Genomic DNA, 25,397 nt, shown 5'->3' on the forward strand with positions numbered 1-25,397 from the left:
CTCTTCCTCTTCTTCCTCTTCTTTTTTTTTGTGTCATTCTCTAGTAGATGAAGATGAGGCATATGAAGTCTAGTTTTACCGTAAAAAGTTTGATGTATAGATTTCATATGAGAATAGTATTTGTTGCTATAGATATTTTAATTGTATAATTACCACTTCCTTTGTCAGGGCGATTTTAGGTTTTTAGAAGTTTTTGATAAGAGTTTTATCCCAATGGTACAAACTGTAGAAGAATGAACTGCTACAACACCTTTTCTAAGAAAAAAGGTTTTGGTCGAAAAAGACCTTTAGTTTTCCATTTGCTGCAATTTGGCTGCATCTTTTGCCAAACTGTTGGACCTTTGAAATCAGTTTTATAAATATTCATCATTCAGAGAAGAAACAATTCTTTGGATTTGTCCTAGAAGGATCAAGCTGGCCTGAAATACCAATAGGGGGTGACATGCACCAACAAGCTACACTTTGACCATCAGCTGCCCCAAACAGGATGAAATCCATGTCGCAGTTTTTAACCAAGCAACACTCTCCACAGCCCCAACATCATTCCAGTTCAGCCTTGGGAAGGCTGACTAGACATTTAGCTTCTCCATCGATTTTAGTTATTCTTATTAATGATGCAGTGAACATCATCACTATACATATAGTTTTCAACCTATTTTTATATAAGAAAAATAAACTGAAAATAAAGCCTTTTAGTATAAAATGCTGCTCAAGTTTTCTTTAGAAAAAGAAGAATCTGCTGCAAGGCTGAGTGCAGTGGCTCACGTCTGTAATCCCAGCACTTTGGGAGGCCAAGGTGGGAGGATCCCTTGAGGCCAGGAGTTCGAGACCAGTCCAGTCAACATAGTGAGGCCCCCATCTCTATATTTCTTAGTTGAGGAAAGAAAAAAAAACCTACTGCGAAGGTGCTATAGTTGGCTTGTGACATTAAACCTCATAATCAAAGCATTCAAACTTAACGAAATGCTGTAGCTGGAATGCACACTTCAGCTCACTCTGAAATCCTGGCAAACGGCAACTCACTCCTCCAAAACTGATGAAAGCATTTGATTTAATTGGCATGCTGTGAACATCTGAACTCATTTATTGGCAATTCTCATTGTCATTTGGAGAGAAGTTCATTATTTGGCAGTCCTAGTTAGTTAGAGACATTAACTGATGGATGATGTAATTATCAGTCATCAAATCACGAAACTTGTTTCTATGAGAGTGTAAACATACTATTTAGCTTCCCGAGGTTGATTATTAACTAAGCTAGGATGTTTTGCTTATCAAAAAGAAAGATTCAAAAAATGATCATCCAAGGCTGGGCATGGTGGCTCATACCTGTAATCCTAGAAATTTGGGAGGCCAAAGTGGGAGGACTGCTTGAGCCCAGGAGTTCCAGACCAGCCTGGGCAACATGGTGAGATCCTGTCTCTACAAAAGATTAAACAATTAGCCTGGTCTGGTGGTGCATGCCAGTAGTACCAGATATGCAGGAGGCTGAGGTGGAAGAATTGCTTGAGCCTGGGAAGTCGAAGCTACAGTGAGCCATGTTGGTGCCACTGCACTCCAGCCTAGGTAACAAAACAAGACACACTCTCTCTCCTCTCTCTCTCTACACACCACACACACACACACACACACACACACATACACACACACACAGTTCATCTGAGCCAGGAATGGTAGCCCACACCTGTAGTCTCAGCTACTCAAGAGGCTGAGGCAGGAGAACCCAGGAGGCAGAGGTTGCAGTGAGGCAAGATTGCACCACTGCACTCCAGCCTGGGCAACAGAGCAAGACTCTGTCTCAAAAATAAATAAATAAATAAATAAATAAATAAATAAATAAATAAATGTTATCATTTGAATACCATTAGTGCTTAGTAACTCTCCAATCCCCCATAACTCTTTGGTGAACTGACATTAAGTTTCTAAATATATAAAATGTAATTTACATTCTTAATTCTGATATGTGTCATGTTTGGCTTGTACAGAAAAATAAAGATCCTGTTGCATCTTGAAAAAAATGTTCATACTAATTTTTTTCCTAGAAACACTGTAATTTCAGATAATGCCATATGTGGAAGCTGACTCCAAGTCAAGATTTGTTTGCTAGTTTTTCATTACTGAAGTGCTTTTAGGAGAAACCGACAAGGGCATGAGGAAGTCAGACCAAAAAAACAGAAGCCTCAAAGTATGATTTAGGCTTAAAAAAAAAAAAAAAAAAAAGGCCGGGCGCTGTGACTCACACCTGTAATCCTAGCACTTTGGGAGGCCGAGAAGGGTGGATTGCCTGAGCTCAGGAGTACAAGACCTGCCTAGGCAACACGGTGAAGCCCCGTTTCTAATAAAATACAAAAAATTAGCCAGGTGTGGCGGTGTGCGCTGAGCCTGTAGTCCCAGCCACTTGGTAGGCTGAAGCAGGAGAATTGCTAGAACCCAGGAGGCAGAGGTTGCAGTGAACCGAGATCGTGCCACTGCGCTCCAGCCTGGGCGACAGAGCGAGACTCCATCTCTTTAAAAAAAAAAAAAAGAAAAGAAAAGAAAAGAAAATATATTTAAAACAAAAATTAAAATTAACTGTAAAAACCATGTTTTGTGCCAGGCGTGGTGGCTCATGCCTGTAATCCCAGCACTTTGGGAGGCTGAGAGGGGCAGACCACTTGAGGTCAGGAGTTCGAGACCAGCCCGGTCAACGTGGTAAAACCTCGTCTCTACTAAAAGTACAAAAAAATTAGCAGGGCATGGTGGCAGGCGCCTGTAATCCCAGCTACTCTGGAGGCCGACGTAGGAGAATGGCTTGAACCCAGGAGGCAGAGGTTGCAGTGAGCCGAGATTACACCACTGCATTCCAGCTTGGGCCACAGAGCAAGATTCCATCTCAAAAAATAAATAAATAAAATAAAAATAAAAACCATGTTTTGGACTACCTGAAAAAATTTGTTTATTTATTTATTTATTTTTGAGACAGGGTCTCGCTCTGTCACCCAGGCTGGAGAGCAGTGGCGTGATCTTAGCTCACTGCAACCTCTGCGTCTCCGGCTCAAGCGATCCTCCCACCTCAGCCTCCTGAGTAGTAGGGACTAGAGTTATGTGCCACCAGACCAGGCTAATTTTTTTTGTTGTTGTTGTTTTTGTTTTTGTAGAGAAAGGGTCTCCCCATGTTGCCCAGGCTGTTATCAAACTCCTGGACTCAAGTGATCCTCCTGCCTCAGCCTCTCAAAGTGCTGGGATTACAGACATGAGCCCCTGCACCCAACCTCTATGTTTCAATGTACTTAAAATTTGTGGGATGCCCAGACTTCTTTAACATAATACTAGCACATAAGAGATATTTTATTTTTGAATTACAGGAAATTTGGAAAATCTAGACAATAAAAAATTACCTGAATCCCATTACTCAGAGAGAACCATGTTATCATTTTGGTTTATTTTCTTCCAGTCTTTGTTTTTTTTAATTGGAAAAAATGATAGAATTTCTAGTTTTCATAATGATGGAATAAGTAATTGGTGGAATGGATAATCTGGACAAACACTCCAGGGACAACTAGAAAGGCAGGTCAAATTATAAGTACATAGAATATGTCATATATATTGAGTCTACTTAAAGGCATTGGAGAGCTAATAAGCAATGAAGAATTACAGAACCCAGATCTGGAAGAACATGGGGAATCCAGAGAGAGTGTCACATTGAGAGCTGCTTCATCCTGGGGGGTATTTGCTGATTCTAGAAGGGGTGGCTGAGTGCGTGAGAGGCTGAGCAACACCCTGACAGCCATGGCGGGCTAAAGGGATAAAGATGTAGTGGAATAAGCAGTGCAGGGGGAGGGTCCTGCTAAGCCCAGCACTTTGGGTTGGATTCCCTGCAATTCGTTCTCCCAAATGCAGCAAGGATGATGTGTCTGAAGCTAGTTACATCATGGCAGTGTTTTGCTTGAAACCCTCCATTGATTTTGAACCTCAGAATAAAAGATAAATAAGCCGCCAAAAAAAAGGACAAAAAATCTACACTATACAAACAGTTTTCAATCTTATTTTGGGGTTGAAAGGACCCACCATTCCCTTTTTATAATAGGAATTTACAATGCCCTCTTTACTATTATGAAATTAAATTTACAGACAATAACTAATCTATATATATAATTTCATAATTATAATGATCATAAGAGTCAATAAAATGCCCAAATTGTAATATGAAGAAAAAAATAAAAGTAATCTCTTTCATTTTTTTATTTTCTGAGACAGGGTCGTACTCTGTCACCCAGGCACAATTGTGCAGTGACACAATCATGGCTCATTGCAGCCTCCACCTCCTGGGCTTAGGTGATCCTCCCACCTTTACCTCCTGAGTAGCTGGGACTATAGGTGCATGCCACCATGTCCGGCTGTTTTTTTTTTTTTTTTTTGTAGAGACAGAATTTTGCCATGTTGCCCAGCTGATCCTCCTGCCTTGGCCTTCCAAAGTGCTGGGATTATAGGCGTGAGCCACCACAGCCAGCCAAAATAAAGGTAACCTACAATAAAACAATATGTATTTCAATATGTAAATATCTGGATACAATTAGATCACAGGATATAATGAAGTTGTAAGATGGTGTTTATACCTGTATTCAGAATCTTTATGTATGCAGCCTGATACAGTTGTGTATGCTATCAGTGGCTCTAATACCGTAAACAGTGTTTCCATCATTGACCTGGTTTCTGAAGTGGTTTGAAACTCTTCGTAAAGTTTCAAACAAAAAACCAACGTTCCCTTCAATCACAAGATTATGTTTCTGATTTCATTTCCTACTACATTTCTCTTTACTTTTGCTTCTGCAGCCATCCTGGCCTCCTCTCTCTCAAATTTGATTAAGTATGTTCAGCTTTAGGCTCTTTCAATGCCTGTTCTGCATTGACGTTCTTCTCCCAAATATAGTCGTGGCTCACTCCCTCACTTACTTTGGGTCTTTCCTCAAACATCCATTTCTCAGTAAAACCTTCCTGGATTCTTTACTTAAATTTAAACATTCCTCGTCCTTGCCCCTGGCACTTCCTTGTCTCCCTTCCCTGCTTTATTTGTCTCCTTAGCATCACCATCTGACATGCTCTTGTGTTTTACTTATTGTTTATCTAGCCACCTTCCCACCCCCAGAGGTTTTAAGTTTAATGCATTCATTTTCTGTTTGTTTTGTCCACCAATACGCCCAATAAGTATTAGTGGAAGGGAGGAAAAAGAAATGGAAAGGAAGGAGAGAGAGAGAGAGAGAGAGAGAGAAAGAAAGGTAGAGAAGAAGGGCGGGTTTCAGGAAGTAGCAAAGGGTCATGAGACCCAAATTTGGTTTCTTGCCTTCAACCACCCAGTGACTTCAGAAACTCGGCATTGGCTGTCAGCTCCTTGCCCCAAAGGCTGTCCCCTTTCTATGGGCACTGGGCAGAGACAGGGTGTTTTATCAAGTCTTTGTCTGGAGCAATGATGCTTATTATTAGTCAGCAGAGCCTGCTGCTGTTTTTTAATTTTGAGGGGAGAGATGTGGGAGAACTTTTGTAAGCTATACTACCCCAAAACCAACTGACTACAGGCGATTAGAAAGGAGTGTGGCTTGAAGTTTTTGATTCTCTTTCCAATGAGATGTATATAATTATGGAACTGAAAACTCACAACTAAATGGAAGTCAGAAGTGATCATAGAGTGACAGAGTTTGCCAGGGGTGTTTAGAGTCAGTCCTAGGAGGCAACCTTTAAACATCTGTGAGAGTGCCTAGAAAACAGGGCTCAATTAAAGGAGACTCAACAAAGAAATAAATTACATAATGAAATCCCAGTTATTTGCATAAATTTCTATACTAAATGATATACAGAGGTCCCTTACTTAACCTGTGATTTAATGACCTGAAGTGTACCTCTCTAACAAATTAATCTCGCATAAGGACTGTTTATTATTGTTTGCTACAAAATAACTTCTAGGCCTGTAATTCCAGCACTTTTGGAGGCCGAGGCGGGCGGATCACCTGAGGTCGGGAGTCCAAGACCAGCCTGACCAACATGGAGAAACCCCATCTCTACTAAAAAAACAAAATTAGCCGGGCGTGGTGGTGCATGCCTGTAATCCCAGCTGCTAGAGAGGCTGAGGCAGGAGAATTGCTTGAACCCAGGAGGTGGAGGTTGTGGTGAGCCGAGATGGCGCCATTGCACTACAGCCTGGGCAACAAGAGCAAAATTCCGTCTCAAAAAAAAAAAAAAAAAAAAGTAACTTCTATAGTTTTAGGAAGAAAACTGGCAGAGAAGATTGCTGGTGCCTCTCATAGGAAAGAGCAAAAACCAGCAGTGTGTTCCACTTTTACTTCTTCCTCTTCCTCCAAAATCTGCTTGATTTCTCTATGCTGGGAGTCAACAACGTTAACATTAATAGAATCACTCCATATGTATTTGTGGGAGGCAGAATAATGGCCCCTCCAATGATGTCCACTCCTAATACTGGAAATCTGTGACTATGTTACATTATAAAACAAAGAGGAATTAAGGTTGCAAATCAGCTGACTTTGAGATGGGGAGACTTCAGGCCTAATGTAATCACAAGGCTCCTTGAGATATGGAAGAGGGAGGCAGAAGAACATGAGAGCCAGAGATCGATGGCTTGATTTTAGTTTGTTAAGACTCTGACCTACAGGAACTGTTAAGATCATACCTGTGTATTGTGTTAAGTGCTAAGTTTGTGGTAATTTGTTAGAGCAGTAATAGAAAACAAATACAGTATTGTTCTGCTGTCTGCATTTGTCATTTAATCTCACACACAGAAGTTATTTTCTCTCCTGCCTCACGCCTCCAGAATTCTTCCTCACTGTTGCTGGTTTCTTGTAAATTACTCTATCCCAGTGGTTCTTGATGGGGTAGGGGAACAATTTTGTCCCCCAGGGACATTTGACAATGTCCAGAGACATTTTTGGTTGTCACAACTGGGAAGTGGGTGGTATTGCCACTGGCATCCAGTGGATAGAGGCCAGGGATGCTGCCAAACATACTACAATGCACAGACAGCAAAGAATTGTCCAGCCCAAAATGTCAATAGCACCACTGTTGAGAAAACCCTGTTGTACATATGTATCACCTTATATCACATATGGGGTTTGGGGATAAGTGTCTACATGCAAAGAATTCCTGTGCCTATCTCCCCCACTCCTACTCCCCACTTTTTTTTTGGTCCTGCTTTTTTATACGTGCATTCTCAAGGGGGTAATATCACCCCTAAGGGGGTAAAAATTGGTTTTTGAGGGATGTCTTAGTCACTTTGTGCTGCGATAACAAATTACTGTAGGCTGGGTGGCTTAAAGAACATTTATTTATCACACTTTTGGAGCTGGAAAGTCCAAGATCAAGGCACCAGTAAGTTGGGTGTCTGGTAAAGGGCCCAGTCTCTGCTTCCAAGATGGCGCCTTGGCTGCTGCATTCTCATGTGGCAGAAGAGCAAAAAGGGCCAGGACGCTTCAACATCTTTTACAATGTGGCTAATATCATTCATGAGGGGTCTGCCCTCGTGACTTAATCAACTCCTAAGGGCCCACCTCTTAATACTATCGCATAGTGATTAAGTTTCAATATATTAATTTGGAGGAACACATTCAGACCATAGCAAGAGGTTTCTAAATTTAGCTCAAAGTATGGCAAAGTAATGAACTGAACTTTATATTAGTTCAAAAGAAATGGGGGAAGGTTTGTCTGTATGTGTTTATCATTCATTCCTCCCTTCCTTTGTTCCATCACATATATGCGGAAACTTTTTTCCATAAAGAAAAACTAAATGTCATCTCACCTTTCCTCACCCCCAAACAAACCACTCCAATAAACCAAAACCAAAAGCCAAAAATAATTGTATCCTTATGCTCTGCCATGGGTATAAAGTAAGAAAGCACACATTTTAGGCAGCTGTGGGCGATGCTGTCATAATGATATGTCTCTTGTGATATTGGGAATTTGAATGATTAAACTGAGTATTCAGTTATTTGAATGATGTCATTCTGTTGCAGTTCCTCTGGCTATTCTGCTTTCGTACTGCAAATGTGTTAAAAATTTAAGTCCCAGCTTGAACTTTTCTTTATGCTGCGATCAGCCCTGTGGATTGTCTCATTATACAGTGCCTTCAGGGGTGGCACTTCTGGGCATGCTGGCAGCACTCTCGGGTCAGCAGGAACTATTTCAACTCAATTTATAAAGCAAAAGAAAGGGATCTGGTTGACCTACAAGGTCCAACTCTGCAAGAATTAACACTAACCACAATGGTGATTATTCACAACTTGCCCATCTTCTGAGAAAATAAAGCCTTTTTCAGAGGTATTTTTCCCTCCTTTAAATGAAAGCATCCATTCTTGCTCTCTTGAAAAAAAAAAACTTACAGAGAATATCAGAAGACTTATTATCTCTGAATTTTTTTAATCTATAGAAGATTGCTTAAGAGATCCATGCAATAAATGATTTCTAAATCCTGAAAGAATGGCAAAATAAGGCTGTGAGGATTGCTCAGCAGGACCCGCTCCAATCCAATCCACCCTCTATTTCCCTTTGTACCTTGAAGGTGATCTTAAAGCTTTCTCAGTTCTTTTTATTTTTATTTTTGAGACAGGGCTTTGCTATGCTGCCCAGGCTGGTCTCAAACTCCTGGGCTAAATGGATCCTCCTGCCTCGTGAGTTAGGTAAAAAAGAAGCAGAAACCATCAGGCTTTAAAAGAATATCAAATTTATAATGAATATTATTGTTAAAAAAAAACCCTGACAATGGCTAAAACTAAACATGGTAAGATTTATTGCCAACTCAAAAATAATAAATTAAATCTTAGCAAAGGGAAAATCTACCAAATTTGATAAGGCAGATGGAAGAAATTAGTTTATGAAAGAAAGGTGTTAATGGCCAAGGTTCTGATTAGACAAAAAAAAAAAATTGATCAACGAATCAACTCTTTTTTCTTTTTCTTTTTTTGTTGAGATGGGGTCTTGTTCTGTCTCCCAGGCTGGAGTGCAGTGGCATGATCAGGGCTCACTGGAGCCTCTACCACTAACACTTAGGCTCAAGTAATCCTCCAACCTCAGCATCCCAAGGAACTGGCACTATAGGCACGTGTCACTGTGCCCAGCTAATTTTTTAAACATTATTTGCAGAGACGAGGTCTCGCTAATGTTACCCAGACTGGTCTGGAACTTCTGGGCTCAAGTGATCCTCTTCCACCTTGGCTTCCCAAAGTGCTGGGATTACAGGTGTGAGCCATCACACCTAGCAAGAAGTAAATTTGTTTTCTAGAATGTAGATAAATACATCTATAGATAGATAATTAGTAAAGGCTCATGGTCAGGCACAGTGGCTCATCACGCCTGTAATCCCAGCACTTTGGGAGGCCAAGGCAGGAGGATTGCTTGAGCTCAGGAGTTCAAGACCAGCCCAGGCAACACAGCAAAACCTCGTCTCTACAAATAATTTTTTAAAAATTAGCCCGGTATGGTGGTGTACACCTGTAGTTCCAGCTTCTTGAGATGTTCAAGTGGGAGAATTGCTTGAGCCCAGAAATTCGAGGCTGCAGTGAGCTATAATCACGCCACTGCACTCTAGCCTGGGCGACAGAAAGGGACCCTGTCTCAAAAAAAAAAAAAAAAAAAAAAAAGCGGGGTTGGGGAGCTCATTGGTGATAAGCATAATAGGAGTGTTTATTCTGAGAATAGCAGGTTTGTCCTAGAGTCTATAGGCAGAAATCCATCCAGGCATGGAAGAAGATCTGGAATCATAAACCCAAGCAATGTGCTCTTTGCATTTAAAATTCTATCCTGTCATATTACAGGGCAGAAATACTGGTCGCTTGAAGGTGTGGTGCAGAAATTCTGAAGGGAGGCAGCCACTAACCTTATATACTTAGTCACATTGGCCTGTAAGCCCTGGAGTACAGGGCTGATCAATTTTCTGGTTACTGGCTTTCTAAGCTGATGCTCTCCCAAACTTGAGAGTGCCTCAGAATCACCTGGAGGGCTTGTTAAAATACCAATTACTGGCCCTGCCCTTAGAGTTTCTGATTCATTAAATCTGAGGTAGAGCCCGAAAAACTGCTTTTTCTTTTTTTTTTCTTTTGAGACGGAGTCTCCCTCTGTCGCCCAGGCTGGAGTGCAGTGGTGCGATCTCGGCTCACTGCAACCTCTACCTCCTGGGTTCAAGCGATTCTCCTGCCTCAGCCTCCTGAGTAGCTGGGACCACAGGTGCGTGCCACCACACCTGGCTAATTTTCTGTATTTTTACTAGAGATGAGAGTTCACTGTGTTAGCCAGGATGGTCTCGATCTCCTGACCTTGTGATCCGCCTGCCTCGGCCTCCCAAAGTGCTGGGATTACAGGCGTGAGCCACTGCACTACTGCGCCCGGCTGAAAAATTGCATTTCTAACAAGTTTTCAGGTGATGCTGATGCTGCTGATCCAGTGACCACACTTTTTGAGAATTATTGGTCTAGGTGACTTTCCCAGTGAGGGAAGAATGCGCTGCACTTGGAGAATTCACCAGTGGAGGAGAGCTCCTGATAAACTGAAGCTGAGTGAAGAGTTGATTGTTGAAAAGGGACCCACCTGGGTCTCTAAGTCTCCTCTAAGTATTGGCGACAAGGTAGGATAGAAAATTTAGGAGAGGCCTGGGGTGGTGTAATCCTGGCACTTTGGGAGGCTGAGGTGGGCAGATCACTTGAGGCTAGAGTTCGAGACCAGCCTGGCCAATGTGGCGAAACCCAGTCTCTACAAAAAATACAAAAATTTGCCGGGCGTGTGCCTGTAGTCCCAGCTACTCGGTAGGCTGAGGCACGAGAATCGCCTGAACCTGGGAGGAGGAGAGATGGAGGGCCATAGACTCTGTCTGGAAAAAGAAAAAGAAAAAAAGAAAAGAAAAAGAAAAGAAAACTTAAGAGAATGGTCAGTTAATGAACTCATGCTAGGAGAGATTGCACTGCTGGGAGGAATTCTCAATGAAGTATTTTCAAAAGAATAAACAGGAAGATTGAATGGGAAAATTTGTGAGTCAGCAATATATATTGTTCCTTTAGATAGCATGCCCTGTTGTTAGGGCAAGTTTTGTGTTTGATGTTTTTTTTTTTCCCTCACCCCAGGGAAAAAGTAGGATCTCTTTTTTTAACTGTGACCGAGAGTATTGAAAATAATGAGGCATTTCATATAGCATTTTTTATTTGTTGAACTGTCATGCAACTTTTCTTATTTTCTTTCTTACTTTTTAAAAAATATCTGTTTAGTATGTTATTAAATCAATGCAGCACTTAAAAAAATTCAACTAGGGTTTCCAGGTGGCATTAGATATTTTTTCCACTCTATTCAATGAAGTATCTTGGCCAGATGGTTTCTGTTGTTGATTGTTTTGGATTTTTATATATACATTATCGTGTAGACTGCATTCATTACATGTAGACATAACCCTTTTACCTACTAGATTCTTCTCCAAATGAACGAAAAGATATTAGATATTATTAAGACAATAAGAGACTCAGAATAGGCAAGAAACTGGGTCTATATCTGAAATATCATTTAGTGACCTTCAGCTCCACAGAGAATAAGCTCCTCAAAAATAGAGTGGAACCATTATGTGGAGTGGGGGCTTTTCTGTATCCACTTCTTATCTGACTTTCATTCCTTTCTCTGGAGCATCCATTCTTCCTATCCTAACACTTAGAAAAATACTTCCAGGGTGGAGAGGATAAAACCCTCTCATTGAGAAGTACAGTACCTTTTTTTTTTTTTTTCTTGAGACAGGGTCTCATATTGTTGCCCAGGCTGGAGTGCAGTAGTACGATCACAACTCACTGCAGCCTCTATCTCCCAGGCTCAAACGATCCTCCCATCTCAGCTGCCTGGGTAGCTGGGACCTCGGGCAGGAGCCACCACACCCAACAAATTTTTAAATTTTTTATAGAGTTGGGGGGTCTCACTATGTTCCCCAGGTTGGTCTTGAACCCTTGGGCTTAGGCCATTCTCCTGCCTCAGACTCCCAGAGTGTTATGATTACAGGTGTGAGCCACCATGCCCAGCCATGTTAAAATTTTAACAAAGTAATGTGGTCCTTGAGTCAGGGTGCACTGTATATGTGCGTGATTCTTTAAAATTGTTCCCTTTTGAAAATGATAGTTGCAAGAATATATTCCATCTCTTATGCTATTCAAGATATGACCTTGATGCTCCTGTTATAAAGAGATAAGGTCCATGTCCCCTACCCTTGGATCTGGGTGTGCTTGTGACTCCCTTTTAACCAATAATGCAGCAAAATTCATGCCACATGTCTTCTGAGGCATGATCAGAAAAGGTGATGCAACTTCTCCCTTATCCCATGGAACACCTGCATTGGAGGCCTGAGCTGCTCTGTAAGCAGTGTGACTGCCCTGAGGCTGCCATGTTGTGAGGAAGTCCAAAGTAGCCCACATGTAGAGATCTTGTGGAGAAGCCCTGTGACTACCTAAAGAGGGAAGTGCCCAGCTAGCTCCTAGCAGCTCCAACCCCCTGCTGTTTCAGCTCCACCCACTGTCTGATTGCCAAGAGACCCTGAGCCAGAAATGCCCAGCCAAGAGCTTCCAGGCTTCATCATAGATAACAAAATAATGCTGTTATCTTAAGTCACTAAGTTATGGGGTGATTTGTTATAATGCAGTAGTTGACTGGAATGTTCCCTAAAATTGGTGAGAATGATTGAAAACAATTCTATCAGTGAGGTTTCCTTAGTTACAAACAGGAGAAACTGACTCTGGCTAATTGAACAAATGTATACGATAAATGTCCAAATCAAGAAATGAGAAAAATAAGATAAAAATAAAATGGAAGGATGTAGATCAAGATAAAGAGCAGAAATCAATGAAACAAAAATAATTTAGTGAATCAATAAAGCAAAAAATTAGGCCATTGAAAAAGTTAACAAAGTAAATAAAAGTTTTGTAGGACTGATCAAGAAAGAAAAAGCACAAATAAATAAAATTAAGAATGGGAAACCAGGCCAGGAACGGTGGCTCATGACTTGTAATCCCAGCACTTTGGGAGGCCAAGTTGGGCGGATCATGAGGCCAGGAGTTCGAGAACAGCCTGACCAACATGGTAAAACCCCGTCTCTATTAAAATACAAAAATTAGCTGGGCATGGTGGCATGTGCCTGTAATCCCAGCTACTCAGGAGGCTGAGGCAGGAGAATGGCTTGAACCCAGGAGGAGGTGGAGGTTACAGTGAGCTGAGATCGTGCCACTGCACTCCAGTCTGGGTGACAGAGCGAGACTCCGTCTCAAAACAAACAAACAAACAAACAAAAAACAAAAAAGGGAAACTGTAGAGTTGATATCAATCAAAGAGATAAGAGGATACAAACAACTGTATTCCATTAAATGTGAAAGTTTATACAACATGGACAAACTCCTAGAATAATAATTTATCAAACTGATTCAGGAAGACGAAGAAAGCCTCTAAATCTGTAATGATGAATTTGGTTGCCACATGTGGCTATTGACACTTGAAATGTGACTACAGCAACTAAGGAATGAAATTTTGGATTTTATTTCATTTTAACTAATTTAAATTTAAATTTAAAAACTGACCGGGTGCGTAGGCTCACACCTGTAATCCTGGCACTTTGGGAGGCTGAGGTGGGAGGACTGCTTGAGGCCATGAATTCAAGACTAGCCTGGCAACACAGGAAGACTCCCATCTCTACCAAAAAAAAAAAAAAAAAAAAAAAGAGAAATTACTGGGGTGTGGTGGTACACACCTGTGGTCCTAGCTAATTGAGAGGCTGAGGTGGGAGCATCTCGAGCCCATGAGTTTGAAGCTGTAATAAGTTATATGATTGCACCACTGTACTGCAGCTGGGGCGACAAAGCCAGACCTGTTTCTAAAAAAAAATTAAAAAAACTGCAACAGTGTGAATTTTTTTTTTCATTAAACACAACTTGACAGTTTTGGTTGGGCTGTATTTAACTTTAACCACTACATCTCATAAGCTATTATTATTGCATTGTAGTGTGTGTGCTGGAGTTGTGTACTGTTTTCAGTATTGCCCATAAACACATCACTGATCTTGTTGGTGTCAATGGATTGATTCAGTTTGAATTAGTGTTTTCTATGCACAGATGTAATAGTGGAATGTGTTTATTTGAATATTTTATGAAGACATCAAATAAGACATAATTTACATAGTGATATATAAATCATAATATAATTTTTATTATTTCGTTATAACAAAATCATTTTTTTAGTTAAAAATTAAGTACAGACAAAGTTTTAAATTTAAAATAAAGACATATTATTGAGGCAGAATTGTGGAGAAATATAGAAGCTAATACCATGAATGGAACGGTAAAGAAAAAAATAGCCTGGAAGAAGGTACGTCACAAATGTCATGATGAACGGCAACTGCAATTTGCTGTGTCACAGCAAACTGCCAGAGCTATTTGTTGCTATGTGATGATGTCGCTGCTCTGAGACAAACATGCTTGGGAATTTTTGTGTTTTAAATGTCTCTGTTTTCATTTCTAATAAGTAGATCTTGATATAGTCCACAAAAAAAGTACTTTGTGGTCTTCAACAATTTTAAGAGTGCAGAGTTCTGAGATCAAAAGTTTGAGAACTGCTCATCTAGGGCATAGAAAAGGCAATTTAAGTGGCATGTTGTTTCGGTATTAGGAGCTAGCAGGACTCATTGGAACATTTTAAAATGAGGAATGACCTTAAATGTTTTTAATTGGCCTTATCTTTAATAGACTTCACCTTTCTCTTTTTTTCCTAATGCCCCTCCTTCATCTAGGTCCTCATACTGCAGTGCGCCACTTGGCCTATCTTACTTGAGTTTGGGATAAGAGGACTCTTAACATTTAGGCTCTTCTTTCCTTTATTCATATCTAGATGGACCTATCTTGTGTTGTTTTGCAGGCTCTGTTAATTGTATGTAAGGGCTAATGAGGTAGCTTTCCTAGAAAGTAATTTGCATTTTTAACAGATAACTTTTGAAGACACAGTCACTTCATTCAACAGTTATTTTGGTCAGAATGAGGAAGGTGGAGTAGGTAGAAATCCACTATGAATATTCTGAGAATCCCAACAGACTAAGCCATAGACACCACAGGATTAATAAATGAGGCTCCTTGGAATGACAGCAGCAAAAGGCAATTTCCACCGCAGCTACAGCACGCTGGGTACTGCCCAACCAGAGGATGCTCCTGAGCATCCTCCTCTGGCACTGAGGAGCCCAGCGAATTTCCAGTGGCCAGTGGTGTGGCTGGTGACTGACTTGGGTTATAGCTCTATAGCCTCTACTAGTTACTTGCAAAGTCTCATAGGAAGAAGGCAGCCTCTAAAAAACGCTGAGGCTCATAGACACTGATATTATTTTATAGACACTATCATCGAAGAGAGGGTCTTAAAGATATACTTTGCAATGGCTATTTTTCACTTACATTCTTCTTTTCAAATTTAAATAGTGGTAACCTCTTATACAATTTTAAATAGTCTTTATTTATTTACTTATTTATTTATTTATTTATTTTTGAGACAGAGTCTCACTCTGTTGCCTAGGCTGGAGTGCAGTGGCATGATCTCAGCTTACGATAAACTCTGCCTCCCGGGTTCAAGGGATTCTCGTGACTCAACCTCCCTAGTGGCTAGGATTACAGGTGTGTGCTACCACATCCGGCTAATTTTTGTATTTTTAGTAGAGACGGGGTTTTGTCAAGTTGGCCAGGCTGGTCTTGAACTCCTGGCCTCAAGAGATCCGCCTGCCTTGACCTCTCAAAGTGCTGGGATTACAAGCGTGAGCCACCGCGCCTGGCCTAGAGCAGTACTGTGAACTTCAGAGTTCCCAAGCACCTCCTGCCTCCACAAACGCACAGCTTCTCCCACTATCAAACATCCTGCGACACGGTGGTACATTTGTTACCACTATCGAACCTACACTGATACATCATTCAAAGCCATAGTTTATTTTTTCATTTTATTTTTTTGAGACAGAGTTTTGCTCTTGTTGCCCAGGCTGGAGTGCAACGGCACGATCTCGGCTCACCGCAACCTCCGCCTCCCAGGTTCAAGCGATTCTCCTGCTCCACCCTCCATATTAGCTGGGATTACAGGCATGTGCCACCATGCCCGGCTAATTTTGTATTTTTAGTAGAGACGGGGTTTCTCCACGTTGGTCAGTCTGGTGTCAAACTCCTGATCTCAGATGATCTGCCGTCCTCGGCCTCCCAAAGTGCTGGGTGAGCCACCGCTCCCGGCCTCAAAGCCACAGTTTACATTAGGATACACTTCTTTTTTTTTTCGAGACGGGATCTCCTTGCTCTGTCACCCAGACTGGAATGCACTGGGGAGATCATGACTTACTGCAGCCTCAACCTCCCAGATCAAGAGATGCTCCTGCATCAGCCTCTTGAGTAGCTGGGACTACAGTTGCACACCACCAAACCCGGCTAATTTTTGTATTTTTTGTAGAGATGGAGTTTCGCCATATCGCCCAGGCTAGTCTCCGATTCTCCAATACCTGGGCTCATTGATCCTTCCACATCAGTCTCCCAAAGTGCTGGGATTACAGGTGTGAGCCACTGCGCCCTGCCAGGGCTCACTCTTGACGTTGTAGGTTCTAGTTTTGACAAATGTGTAAAAACATATATTCACCATTATAGTATCATACAGAATACTTTCCCTGCCCTAAAAATCCTCTGTGCTCTATTCATCCCTCCTTCCCCTCTAGCCTTTAGTAACCACTGATCTTTCTACTGTCTCCAGTTTTGCCTTTTCTTCCTTTTTTTGAGACAGAGTTTTGCTCTTTTTGCCCAGGCTGGAGTGCAATGGCGCGATCTCGGCTCACCGCAACTTCCGCCTTCCGGGTTCAAGCGATTCTCCTGCCTCAGCCTCCCGAGTAGCTGGGATTACAGGCATGCGCCACCACCCCGGCTAATTTTGTATTTTTAGTAGAGATGGGGTTTCTCCATGTTGGTCAGGCTGGTCTTGAACTCCTGACCTCAGGTGATCCACCCGCCTTGGCCTCCCAAAGTGCTGGGATTACAGGCGTCAGCCCCCGCGCCCAGCCCAGTTTTGCCTTTTCTAGAATGTCGTATAGTTGGAATCATACAGTACACAGCCTTTTTAGAGTGGTATCCTCTTTTATGATTTCTTTTCTGCCTTCTAGACTGTTCATATTAACCTCATTTTACCTGTGTAGAAGTAGATGGTAGTTGATACATGAAAAAGCAAGCAAGCTACAAAGCGTGGCCTGGGGAACTCTTCCATCAGCATCACATGAGGGTGATAAATTCCAGAAGTAGGGAAGAATAGAGGGCTACCGTGATTAGGGAACTGTGTTTAGAAGGGTTTGGGTATCAAGACAGCCTTGGAAAGAGAAGCAGGACCCACATCTGTGCAGGGCGAAGCAGGTCAGGTTAAGTCGTTGAATTTTTTCAAAGTGTAACACGAAGCCATTGGAGGGTTTTCAGCAGAGTAATCAGATCTTATTTACATTTTAAAAATAATACTTTGACTGCTGGGGAGAAGTGACTGTAGGAGGACCCAAGAAGCACTCTCCTAGTTAGGGAACCAGAGCAGTAGCTGAGGCAAGAGATAATGGTTTGCTCTAGCAATACCAACGGTGAGAAACAGGGATTGAACATATTTTGAAGGTAGAATAGCTCAGACTTGCTAATGGATTGAATGGAGAATAAAAGGCTGTGAGAGTGTTAGGAGAGAAACATAATTTTGCTGGCTTCAGGAACTTGCAGATTTACCAAAACAGTAAATATTGATATGGTGAAGAAACCTGGGGGGTGGGGAAATAGGGTGTTGCACATGTAAATATGTCTTCCACGTGACATTTTCCCCACCTTCTATAGTGAAGAATTTCAGAGCAAACTGGAAAGAGTTTTACAAGCAACACCCATATCCCCATCGCCTAAGTTTAACATCTTACCATATCATCTATTCATGCCTCTATCAGCCCATCTTACTTCAGTAATGCGTTTAAATTGCGGGCATCAATGCACTTTCCTCAGAATTCACCTCAGCACGCATACAATTTATGTCTAGCTTTTTTCTTTTGATCTAAAATTTACATTCAAGGTGAAACGCCCAGATCTTGACTGCACATTAGCTGAGTTCGGACACACGCGTACACCCGTCTAAAATCTGAGATGCAAAAAAGCGGCATAATCAAACGGGCTGCTGGATGTAGGAATCTGGAGATTAGAAGAGAGGTCTTGGCTTGAAATATAAATCTGGGAATCACAAGAACATAGGTCTACTTAAGCTATGAGATTGGATAAAATCACCTAGAGGGTGCAGAGGGAAAGGGAAGGGTCTGTGCCCTCAGAGACCAGCGTTTGGAGGTCGGTCGGGTGGGAGCGGGGGGTGGGGGTGGGGGGCGCAAGGGTTGAGCAAGCCCGAACCAGCCGGCCCAGCCGGGGTCCTGAGAATCACCCTTGCTCGGCGCCAAGCCACCGCTTTGACCTAAGAGCCACCAGGTTGGGGGGCAGGGCGTGGAGAGGACTCCCGGCCAGAGGCGGGAAAGGCAGCCGGGAGGAGAGGAAAGAGGAGGAGGAGGGGAGGAATATGCGGCGGAGGGAAACGGAGAAGAGGTTTACGGCACGGAGGGGAAAAACGAAGGAAGAGGAGGGGCTCGGCAAGGAGAAGGAAGGGGAGAAGGGGGAAGCGCAGGAGAAAAGGGTAGCCGGGGAGCCGGGAAGCGGGCGGGAGGGAGGGGAGCGGCGGGGCGGAGGTCGCCGCAGCGGCCGGCCGAGGGCGGGCGGAGGGAGGGGGTGTGTGCGCGGGTCACATGGTCGCGGCTGCCCTCCCCGTCAGCCGCCCTCGCCGCCGCGGTGCGCTGGCTGCAGGAAGCCGCCGCGCCGCCGCTTTTGTTGTCAGGGACCCAGCGAGGAGCGCCGCTCGCCGGCCGCCGCCACCCTCTCTCGCTGCAGCCTGCTGTGCGCTGCACGGCCTGGGGCCCGGGAGCCCCGCCCGCTCTGCCCATGAGGGGGCCCCGCGACCACCGCTGCTTCCAGCCCGGGGCGGCGCGGCGCTGAGGCGGCGGCGGCGGCGCTGCCCCCTCTGCGGGAAGCGGGCGGCCCCGGCCGCCTCCGCGAGGGCACCATGGAGGTGAATGCAGGTAAGAACCGGACTGCGGCGGGTGGGGGATGGCCGGAGGGAGCGCTCAGAGCCCGCGGGGCACTTTGGGGGGCGGCGGCAGGGGGTGTCCCCATGGCCGGTGGGGCGGGGTGGGCTGCTGCGCGCCGCGTGTCCGCCTCTGGCTCGGTTCCCATCGCCCCCCGGGCCGCCCGGCGCCCGCCCTCTTGTCTCCCTGCAAAGCCGCAGCGCGGCCTGCCGGCGCCCGGCCCGGCCCCCCCCTCACATGGCCCGGCCGCGCGAGCCACGTGCGCGCTGTGTTTACGTTCGGCGGCGCGCGGGCGCCGGTTGGCTGGGCGGGCGCGTGACGCGGCATTACATAATGGGCGCTGAGGCGGCGGCGGCGGGCGGGGACACGTGAGGCCGCTCGGCTCCCTGACCCACATTCCCCGGGGCCGCAGGGACACGTGGGGGCGGGGGCGCGCGCGCGCGCGCTGGCTGGGAGCGCCGCAGCCTCCCGGGAGGCTCCGCCCCTTTGGAAGCCTCGGGGCAGTGACGTCGCCGCGATTCCCTCCTCCCCCGCGGGGTTGCACACTGCGGAGGAGGCCGCGCGTGCGCGCCCGCTGAGCCCCCGCGGCGGGGCGTCCCCGAAGCGGGCGCTGACACCGCAGTGCACCGGACGCCGCACGCTCTTTTCGCGAGGTGACCCCAAGGCGCGGACCCCGCGCAAACCAAACGAACCGGCGCCTGGGGAGGCTGGTAGCTGCATACCTTGCAGATTCCGAGGAGGAAGTGCAGGACGAGGGCGTGCTGCAGGCCGGAGGAGGCGCCTCGGGGAAGGCGTGGGGCTTTCCCGAAGGGATACGCTCGAAGGAGCTCTGAGGTGCTTCGATCCCGAGCGACTCCCCGCAGACTGGGTAGCACCGCCCCTGTTAGGATGCCGTCTGTTTACAAAAAAAACCGTTTGCTCTAGGACGCGACCTGTCTCATACACACACAGTCTTAAAAACTGCTTCCAGATCCCTTCGGGCTGGAGTTTTCCAGTAAACGGGTCACACCCGCAGCTGAGCGTGCAGCTCACGTATGGTCAGGATGACTCAGGTGATCATAGGTGACTCCAACACCATATGTAAGACTGGACATTCTTCATTTAAATTAAAAAAAAATTAACCTGTGGGTCGCTGACTTTTCCTGAATCTGATCAAGAGAATTTGGCTTTATAAATATTTTTCTTGTCACATTTTGTTACATTGCAACGGAACAACAGGGTGCCCTTCCCTCCTTTTGTCTGCCCCAAATGATGAGGTAGATCTGAAGTGAGTGAGGTTATGGAAACAGCCAGCTTTTGTTTTATTTTTTGAGTTGCAATGCGCCTCTAAGAATCTTGCCTCGATAACAAATGTATTGTGAACTTTTCACCAAAAGTAAAAATAAAGTCACTTTCTAATTTTATTTACGTATTTTTAGAATTTACTTATTTTTTTTAACCTGTTGTCTCACAAAAATCTGGATCTAATTGTGTTTTGATTACCTAATCGGCCTACTTAGCCTTTGAGGGTATTTTTAAAATTTTATGAGTTTATCATAGAATTAAACTTCTACATGTTAGAATTCAGAGGTGATCAGGGTGAACCTCTTCTAACCCACCCTTTAGCATGAATTCTAATAGCTTTAGTAACCTCATAAGGGCTGGCTCAATTAGGAAGTTTTTCTCTGGTTTGAGCCCTCTTCCAATACTTCGCTGATCTAAATCTTGCCTCGTGGAGCAAGGCACATTATAAAAATTCCTCCGGATGAATGTTGACCATCCCCTTCCCCCTTCAGTTCTTCCATTTACAGTTCTCATCTCTTTGTCCTTGCCCAGCATTGTTTTTTCTGATCACTCATCATCCTTGTTGCCGTTTGGGATGGAGCACCCAGAAGTGAACAGGCTCTTGTGGAAGTGGTTGGATGATTATCAAGTTCCAAGTTGCCCTCTTTGTCTTGAATCCTGTTGCAAATGAATTCCCTGGCAGGCTTAGTATTTTTGGCATGTTGCTTTGCTGACTCACAGTAACCTTGCAGTCAACTAGGACCTTTCACGTGAACTATTATGAAGTTAGATTTCATTCATTGTGCAGATAATTGCATGACTTGAAGTGTAGGAATTTACAATGACCATTCTTAAAATTTCTCTCGTTCATTTGGCCTTAAGTTCAAAGCTGTTACAAGCTGTTACCCACCATGTTTACAGTTTCTGCTATCTATCAGTAAGCAGGAGGTCTAATAAGAATTGCCTTAAACTGGCCGGGCACAGTGGCTCACGCCTGTAATCCCAGCACTTTGGGAGGCTGAGCCGGGCGGATCCCCTGAGGTAAGGAGTTCGAGACCAGCCTGGCCAACATGGTGAAACCCCGTCTCTACTAAAAGGACAAAAATTAGCCGGGCGTGGTGGTGGGCTCCTGTAATCCCAGCTACTTATGAGGCTGAGCAGCAGAATAGCTTGAACCTGGGAGGTGAAGATTGCAGTGAGCCGACATCGCGCTACTGCACTCCAGCCTGGGCGACAAGAGCGAGACTCCCATCTCAAAAAAAAAAAAAAGCCTTTTAACTTTCGAATTTTTGTAAACATTGACCAAGGTGGGGCCAGATTCAGCGCTGTGTGGCACACCTCTACCCTTCCCTCTAGTTTGGTTATCAGTTGACAAACATTCAACCAGTGATCCTGTAATCTTACTGTCCTTCGTGACATCTCTATGTCTCCTCGCCCCATGAGTAACAAGTGAAAACAGTGGAGTAAAAGACTTGGAAAAAAATTGGAGAGGTGGAGCAAAGAAATCTTTCCTTGGAGCAAGGAAAAGCAAGAATTGAAGAAAAGTTGCTCTACTGGTCAGTAGGGTTAAGAGATTCAAAAGGTAGTGTGGAAATAACCTACAAAGAAACCACTGGATCCTTAACACACATTAAAAAATGAGGTGAATAATGGGTAGGGAGGATTAGTTACTTTGGTTTGAACCATTCTGTTGGAACTCTTCTAGTATAATGATGACAAAAAAATAATCATCAGCTTCTTACTCTGTGCCAGGCCTTTTACATGTGTTCCTCATGTTAATTCCATGAAGGAAGGTGCCGTTGCCACCATCTTAATGATGCGGGGCTAAGTAAATTGAAGCTAAATAACTTACTCAGGCAAGTAGTAGAGCCAGAATTTGAATCCACAAAATTTACTTGGGAACACAAACTGTTAACTACTGTGCTATAATGTACTTTAGCCTGCATAATATTTGAAGATTTATACGCAACTTGGTGGTCCTGTCTTCTTGAGGGTGAAGGAGATACTGCATGTGTATGGATCCCCACTCAATTTGCAGTGATATATGTAGGTTATAGCTAGTGGAAAAGGATAGTCATCTGCAGGGCCTCCCAGTTTCATCAGTCCTCTCTTTAGTCATGCTGGCTTATTTCCAGACATTAGATTACACCTTGACCTCCCTTCTCCAGTAATTTACATGGAGATAAAAATAATGTCTATTTTATAAAATAAGACCGATTTGGCTGGGCATGGTGGCTCATGCCTGTAATCCTAGCAATCTGGGAGGCTGAGATGGGCAGATCACCTGAGGTCAGGAGTTCGAGACCAGCCTGGCTAACATGTGAAACCCTGTCTCTACTAAAAATACAAAAATTAGCCGGGTGTGGTGGCGGGTGCCTGTAATCCCAGCTACTTGGGAGACTGAGGCAGGAGAATCGCTTGAACCGAGGAGGCGGAGGTGGCAGTGAGTCGAGATCACACCATTGCACTCCATCCTGGGTGACAGAGCGAAACTCCGTCTGAAAAAAAAAAACAACAAAAAACACACCATTTATTTTTGTGTCACCCTATTTAAAAAATGTCTCTTTTGATGATTTAAACAGTCTTCAATTCCCCACTTAGATATTGCAACCTTGGATGTGTTTGCCCCTATTGATTTCTGCCCTCTTTAGTATGATCCTCAGCAGTCACAATCATGTGTGTGAAACATTGCTCCTAATAACATAGGTGTTTCCCCAGTTGGCCTATAAGGCATTTTAGGGAAAGGACCATGCTGTTCTCTGGAGCCCTGACACCTAGGACACAATTGGAATTTTAGTGCTTCAGTTAGATCTACTCTACCACCCTTGGAGTAGAAATTATTTATAACACTTTTAAAATGAGGGAAACTAAAGCTTCTTGGTGATAAAATGTTTTGTTCTAAGTCACAAGGCAGAAAAGTACAGTCATGACTTGAAGTCAAACATAATCTCCAGGATGGTGGACAGAGGAAGTGTGAGGGTTTTGATGATGGACAAGTGTAGAAAATGGGTAAGAAGACCCCAATATATGCAGGAATATCAGTGCTTCCTAGCAGTACAAAATTGGATATTGACTTAAGGCTTGTCTGAAGTTGACCACTGGGTAAGCCCTAGCCTGGGAACCTGGCCCAGGTCCAGGGTCCCTTTCAACTGAAAATAGAGAAGACTGCTTCAGCTAATTTTAGCTCAGGGTTTCAAAGAGGTACATACTGCCTGTTTCTTGGAGGTGTTGGGACTTGCTGGTTTGGGGATTTTTACTCTTCTTACTTTATCATCAAAAACAGTGTATGAAAAAAGCACTTATGAATGCCATTTCATTTCAGTCTTGTAATAAGTGGCAGATATTCCAATTTTATAGAAGACCACTCAGGTTTAGAAAGATTGAAAGTGACTTGCTTGCTCAGGTCTTCTCACCAAATAAGTTTGTACTCTGGAATTGGACAACCTTGACTTTAAACTTTGGCCTGCCACTTAGTGGCTGACTTATCCTCTCTGAGCTCCTTGTTTAAAAAATGATTTGATGAAAGTTAATTCACAGAGTTCTTCTTGTGAGGATGAAATTGTGTCATTTTATTCCTGACATCCAGTAGGTACTTGGTGACTTGTAGTTTCACTTTCCTTTCTTCATTAGGTTGAGGAACTACTAGATGTACTCCTTTTCTTCTAAGAAATTAAAATTTAACCCATTTGGGTTGCTATCAGTCAGGTTCATAGATGGGTGTCTAGTAGCAAGAATAGATGCCAAGACAACTAAATCAATATTGAAGGTCTTGCTAGGAGAATGCAGCTACTTCTAGATGGGTCTTCTTTGATTTTCTGGTGCCTGGCACAGATGCTTGTTTTCTTAAGACAGGAATTGGATCTTCGCTGGATTGATAATAGCCCAGTAGTTTCTTTTAGGTTGGATATTGAAGCTTTTGCAAAGGAAATTGTTTTTTGGTTAATTAATTACGATACAGTCCATTGCCCCGTCAGTGCTTGCAACCAATTTTTAAGCCATCTGCATAGCTCTAATTTCTTTTCTTTTCTCTTTCTTTTTCTTTTTTTTTTTTTTTTTTTGAGATGGAGTTTTCACTCTTGTTGCCCAGGCTGGAGTGCAATGGTGCCATCTCGGCTCACCGCAACCTCCGCCTCCCGGGTTCAAGTGATTCTCCTGTCTCAGCCTCCTGAGGAGCTGGGATTACAGGCATGCGCCACCACACCTGGCTAATTTTGTATTTTTAGTAGAGATGGGGTTTCTCCATGTTGGTCAGGCTGGTCTTGGACTCCCGACCTCAGGTGATCCGCCTGCCTCGGCCTCCCAAAGTGCTGAGGTTACAGGCGTGAGCCACTGTGCCCGGCCAGCTCTAATTTCTAAAAGTTTATTTCTTAGCTAAGGTAGTCAGCAGATCTTGTGAACATAAATGACTGAAAATGGGGGCCCTAGGAAAGTCTTACTTCCAAGGAAAAACATCACTTTCTTATCTTTTATTTTCCTGAGATGTTAGATGTGAATTTAGTACTTAAGACACTATTTTAGAGAAGACAAATAGCTGTGAGATCTTCCTTTGGAATTTCATTGAGGACTAAGAATATTTGTCTTTGTAAAGTGTCCTATTGTGAGTGGAGACATCTGTGAAAAAGTAGCAGTGTGCTAATACCTGGAATTTTTAATGTGGACTTAAGATCTCTAAAGTTATATAAAGACAGCACAATGGTTTTATCCAGTAACATGACACTGGCTAGGTTTCTAGGTTAAGTTGGTTTCTCTTTGGATTCACAGGGTATTAATGATATTCTGGCGGTTGTATCGATGAAATCATCAATCTTTAAAACTATGGGCCAATTTGTGTTTGAATTCACTGATTGTAGCCATTTTGAAACTTCAATGTGCAAATAATTGCTTGGAGAGCTTGTTAAAATTGCACATTCCTGAGGATGTGTTCTCGTCTGGGCAGGGCCTTGGAAACATGTATTCTGAAAAAGCACCAGCTAGTTTTGAGGATATGTATTTTACATAATTTCTCTGGGTGATGAAAATAAACTCG

At 43.7% G+C, this 25,397-nt stretch overlaps 2 protein-coding genes and 1 long non-coding RNA gene across 6 annotated transcripts in view, besides 4 other annotated features; 1 reads left to right on the forward strand and 2 right to left on the reverse strand.

Annotated features, from left to right (window-relative positions):
• NKIRAS1 (NFKB inhibitor interacting Ras like 1) overlaps positions 1 to 20,070 on the reverse strand; it is a 56,612-nt gene extending 36,542 nt beyond the window's left edge. The window contains exon 1 of the mRNA NM_001377380.1: positions 19,831 to 20,070. The gene's annotated coding sequence lies outside the window, so the exon portion shown is untranslated. The remainder of the gene's footprint in view (positions 1 to 19,830) is intronic.
• LOC124909354 (uncharacterized) lies at positions 15,920 to 18,688 on the reverse strand. Its single transcript, XR_007095845.1, has 2 exons — positions 17,163 to 18,688; positions 15,920 to 16,588 (listed from the first exon to the last, which is right to left on the reverse strand). It is a non-coding gene; the product is annotated as an uncharacterized LOC124909354 (long non-coding RNA).
• Positions 18,658 to 19,847: a silencer, noted in NCBI's record as "silent region_14145". NCBI's record gives its function as "represses an Ori minimal core promoter by ATAC-STARR-seq in GM12878 lymphoblastoid cells {active_cell/tissue: GM12878}" and the evidence as "EXISTENCE:reporter gene assay evidence [ECO:0000049][PMID:35858748]".
• Positions 18,658 to 19,885: a biological region, named in NCBI's record as "ReSE screen-validated silencer GRCh37_chr3:23987327-23987868".
• Positions 18,794 to 25,397, forward strand: part of NR1D2 (nuclear receptor subfamily 1 group D member 2) — a 35,332-nt gene continuing 28,728 nt past the window's right edge. For 3 of the 4 annotated variants that reach the window (NR_110524.2, NM_005126.5, XM_006713451.4), the window contains exon 1: positions 18,794 to 19,102. Coding sequence is in view for 2 of the 4 variants with exons in the window: in NM_005126.5 (NP_005117.3) it covers positions 19,087 to 19,102 (16 nt within the window). In the remaining 2 variants the exon portion in view is untranslated. Of the gene's footprint in view, positions 19,103 to 19,628; positions 19,762 to 25,397 lie in introns of those variants that run through there. The other variant, NM_001145425.2, reaches the window with a different exon arrangement.
• Positions 19,344 to 19,885: a silencer, noted in NCBI's record as "fragment chr3:23987327-23987868 (GRCh37/hg19 assembly coordinates)". NCBI's record gives its function as "represses an EF-1alpha promoter that drives an FKBP-Casp9 reporter gene in an ReSE screen in HepG2 liver carcinoma cells {active_cell/tissue: HepG2}" and the evidence as "EXISTENCE:reporter gene assay evidence [ECO:0000049][PMID:32094911]".
• Positions 22,246 to 22,540: a silencer, noted in NCBI's record as "tiled region #12700; K562 Repressive DNase matched - State 7:EnhWF". NCBI's record gives its function as "represses a minimal TATA promoter and a strong SV40 promoter by Sharpr-MPRA in K562 cells {active_cell/tissue: K562}" and the evidence as "EXISTENCE:reporter gene assay evidence [ECO:0000049][PMID:27701403]".

Source organism: Homo sapiens, chromosome 3 (assembly GCF_000001405.40).
Source record: "Homo sapiens chromosome 3, GRCh38.p14 Primary Assembly".
Taxonomy (NCBI): Eukaryota; Metazoa; Chordata; class Mammalia; order Primates; family Hominidae; genus Homo; species Homo sapiens.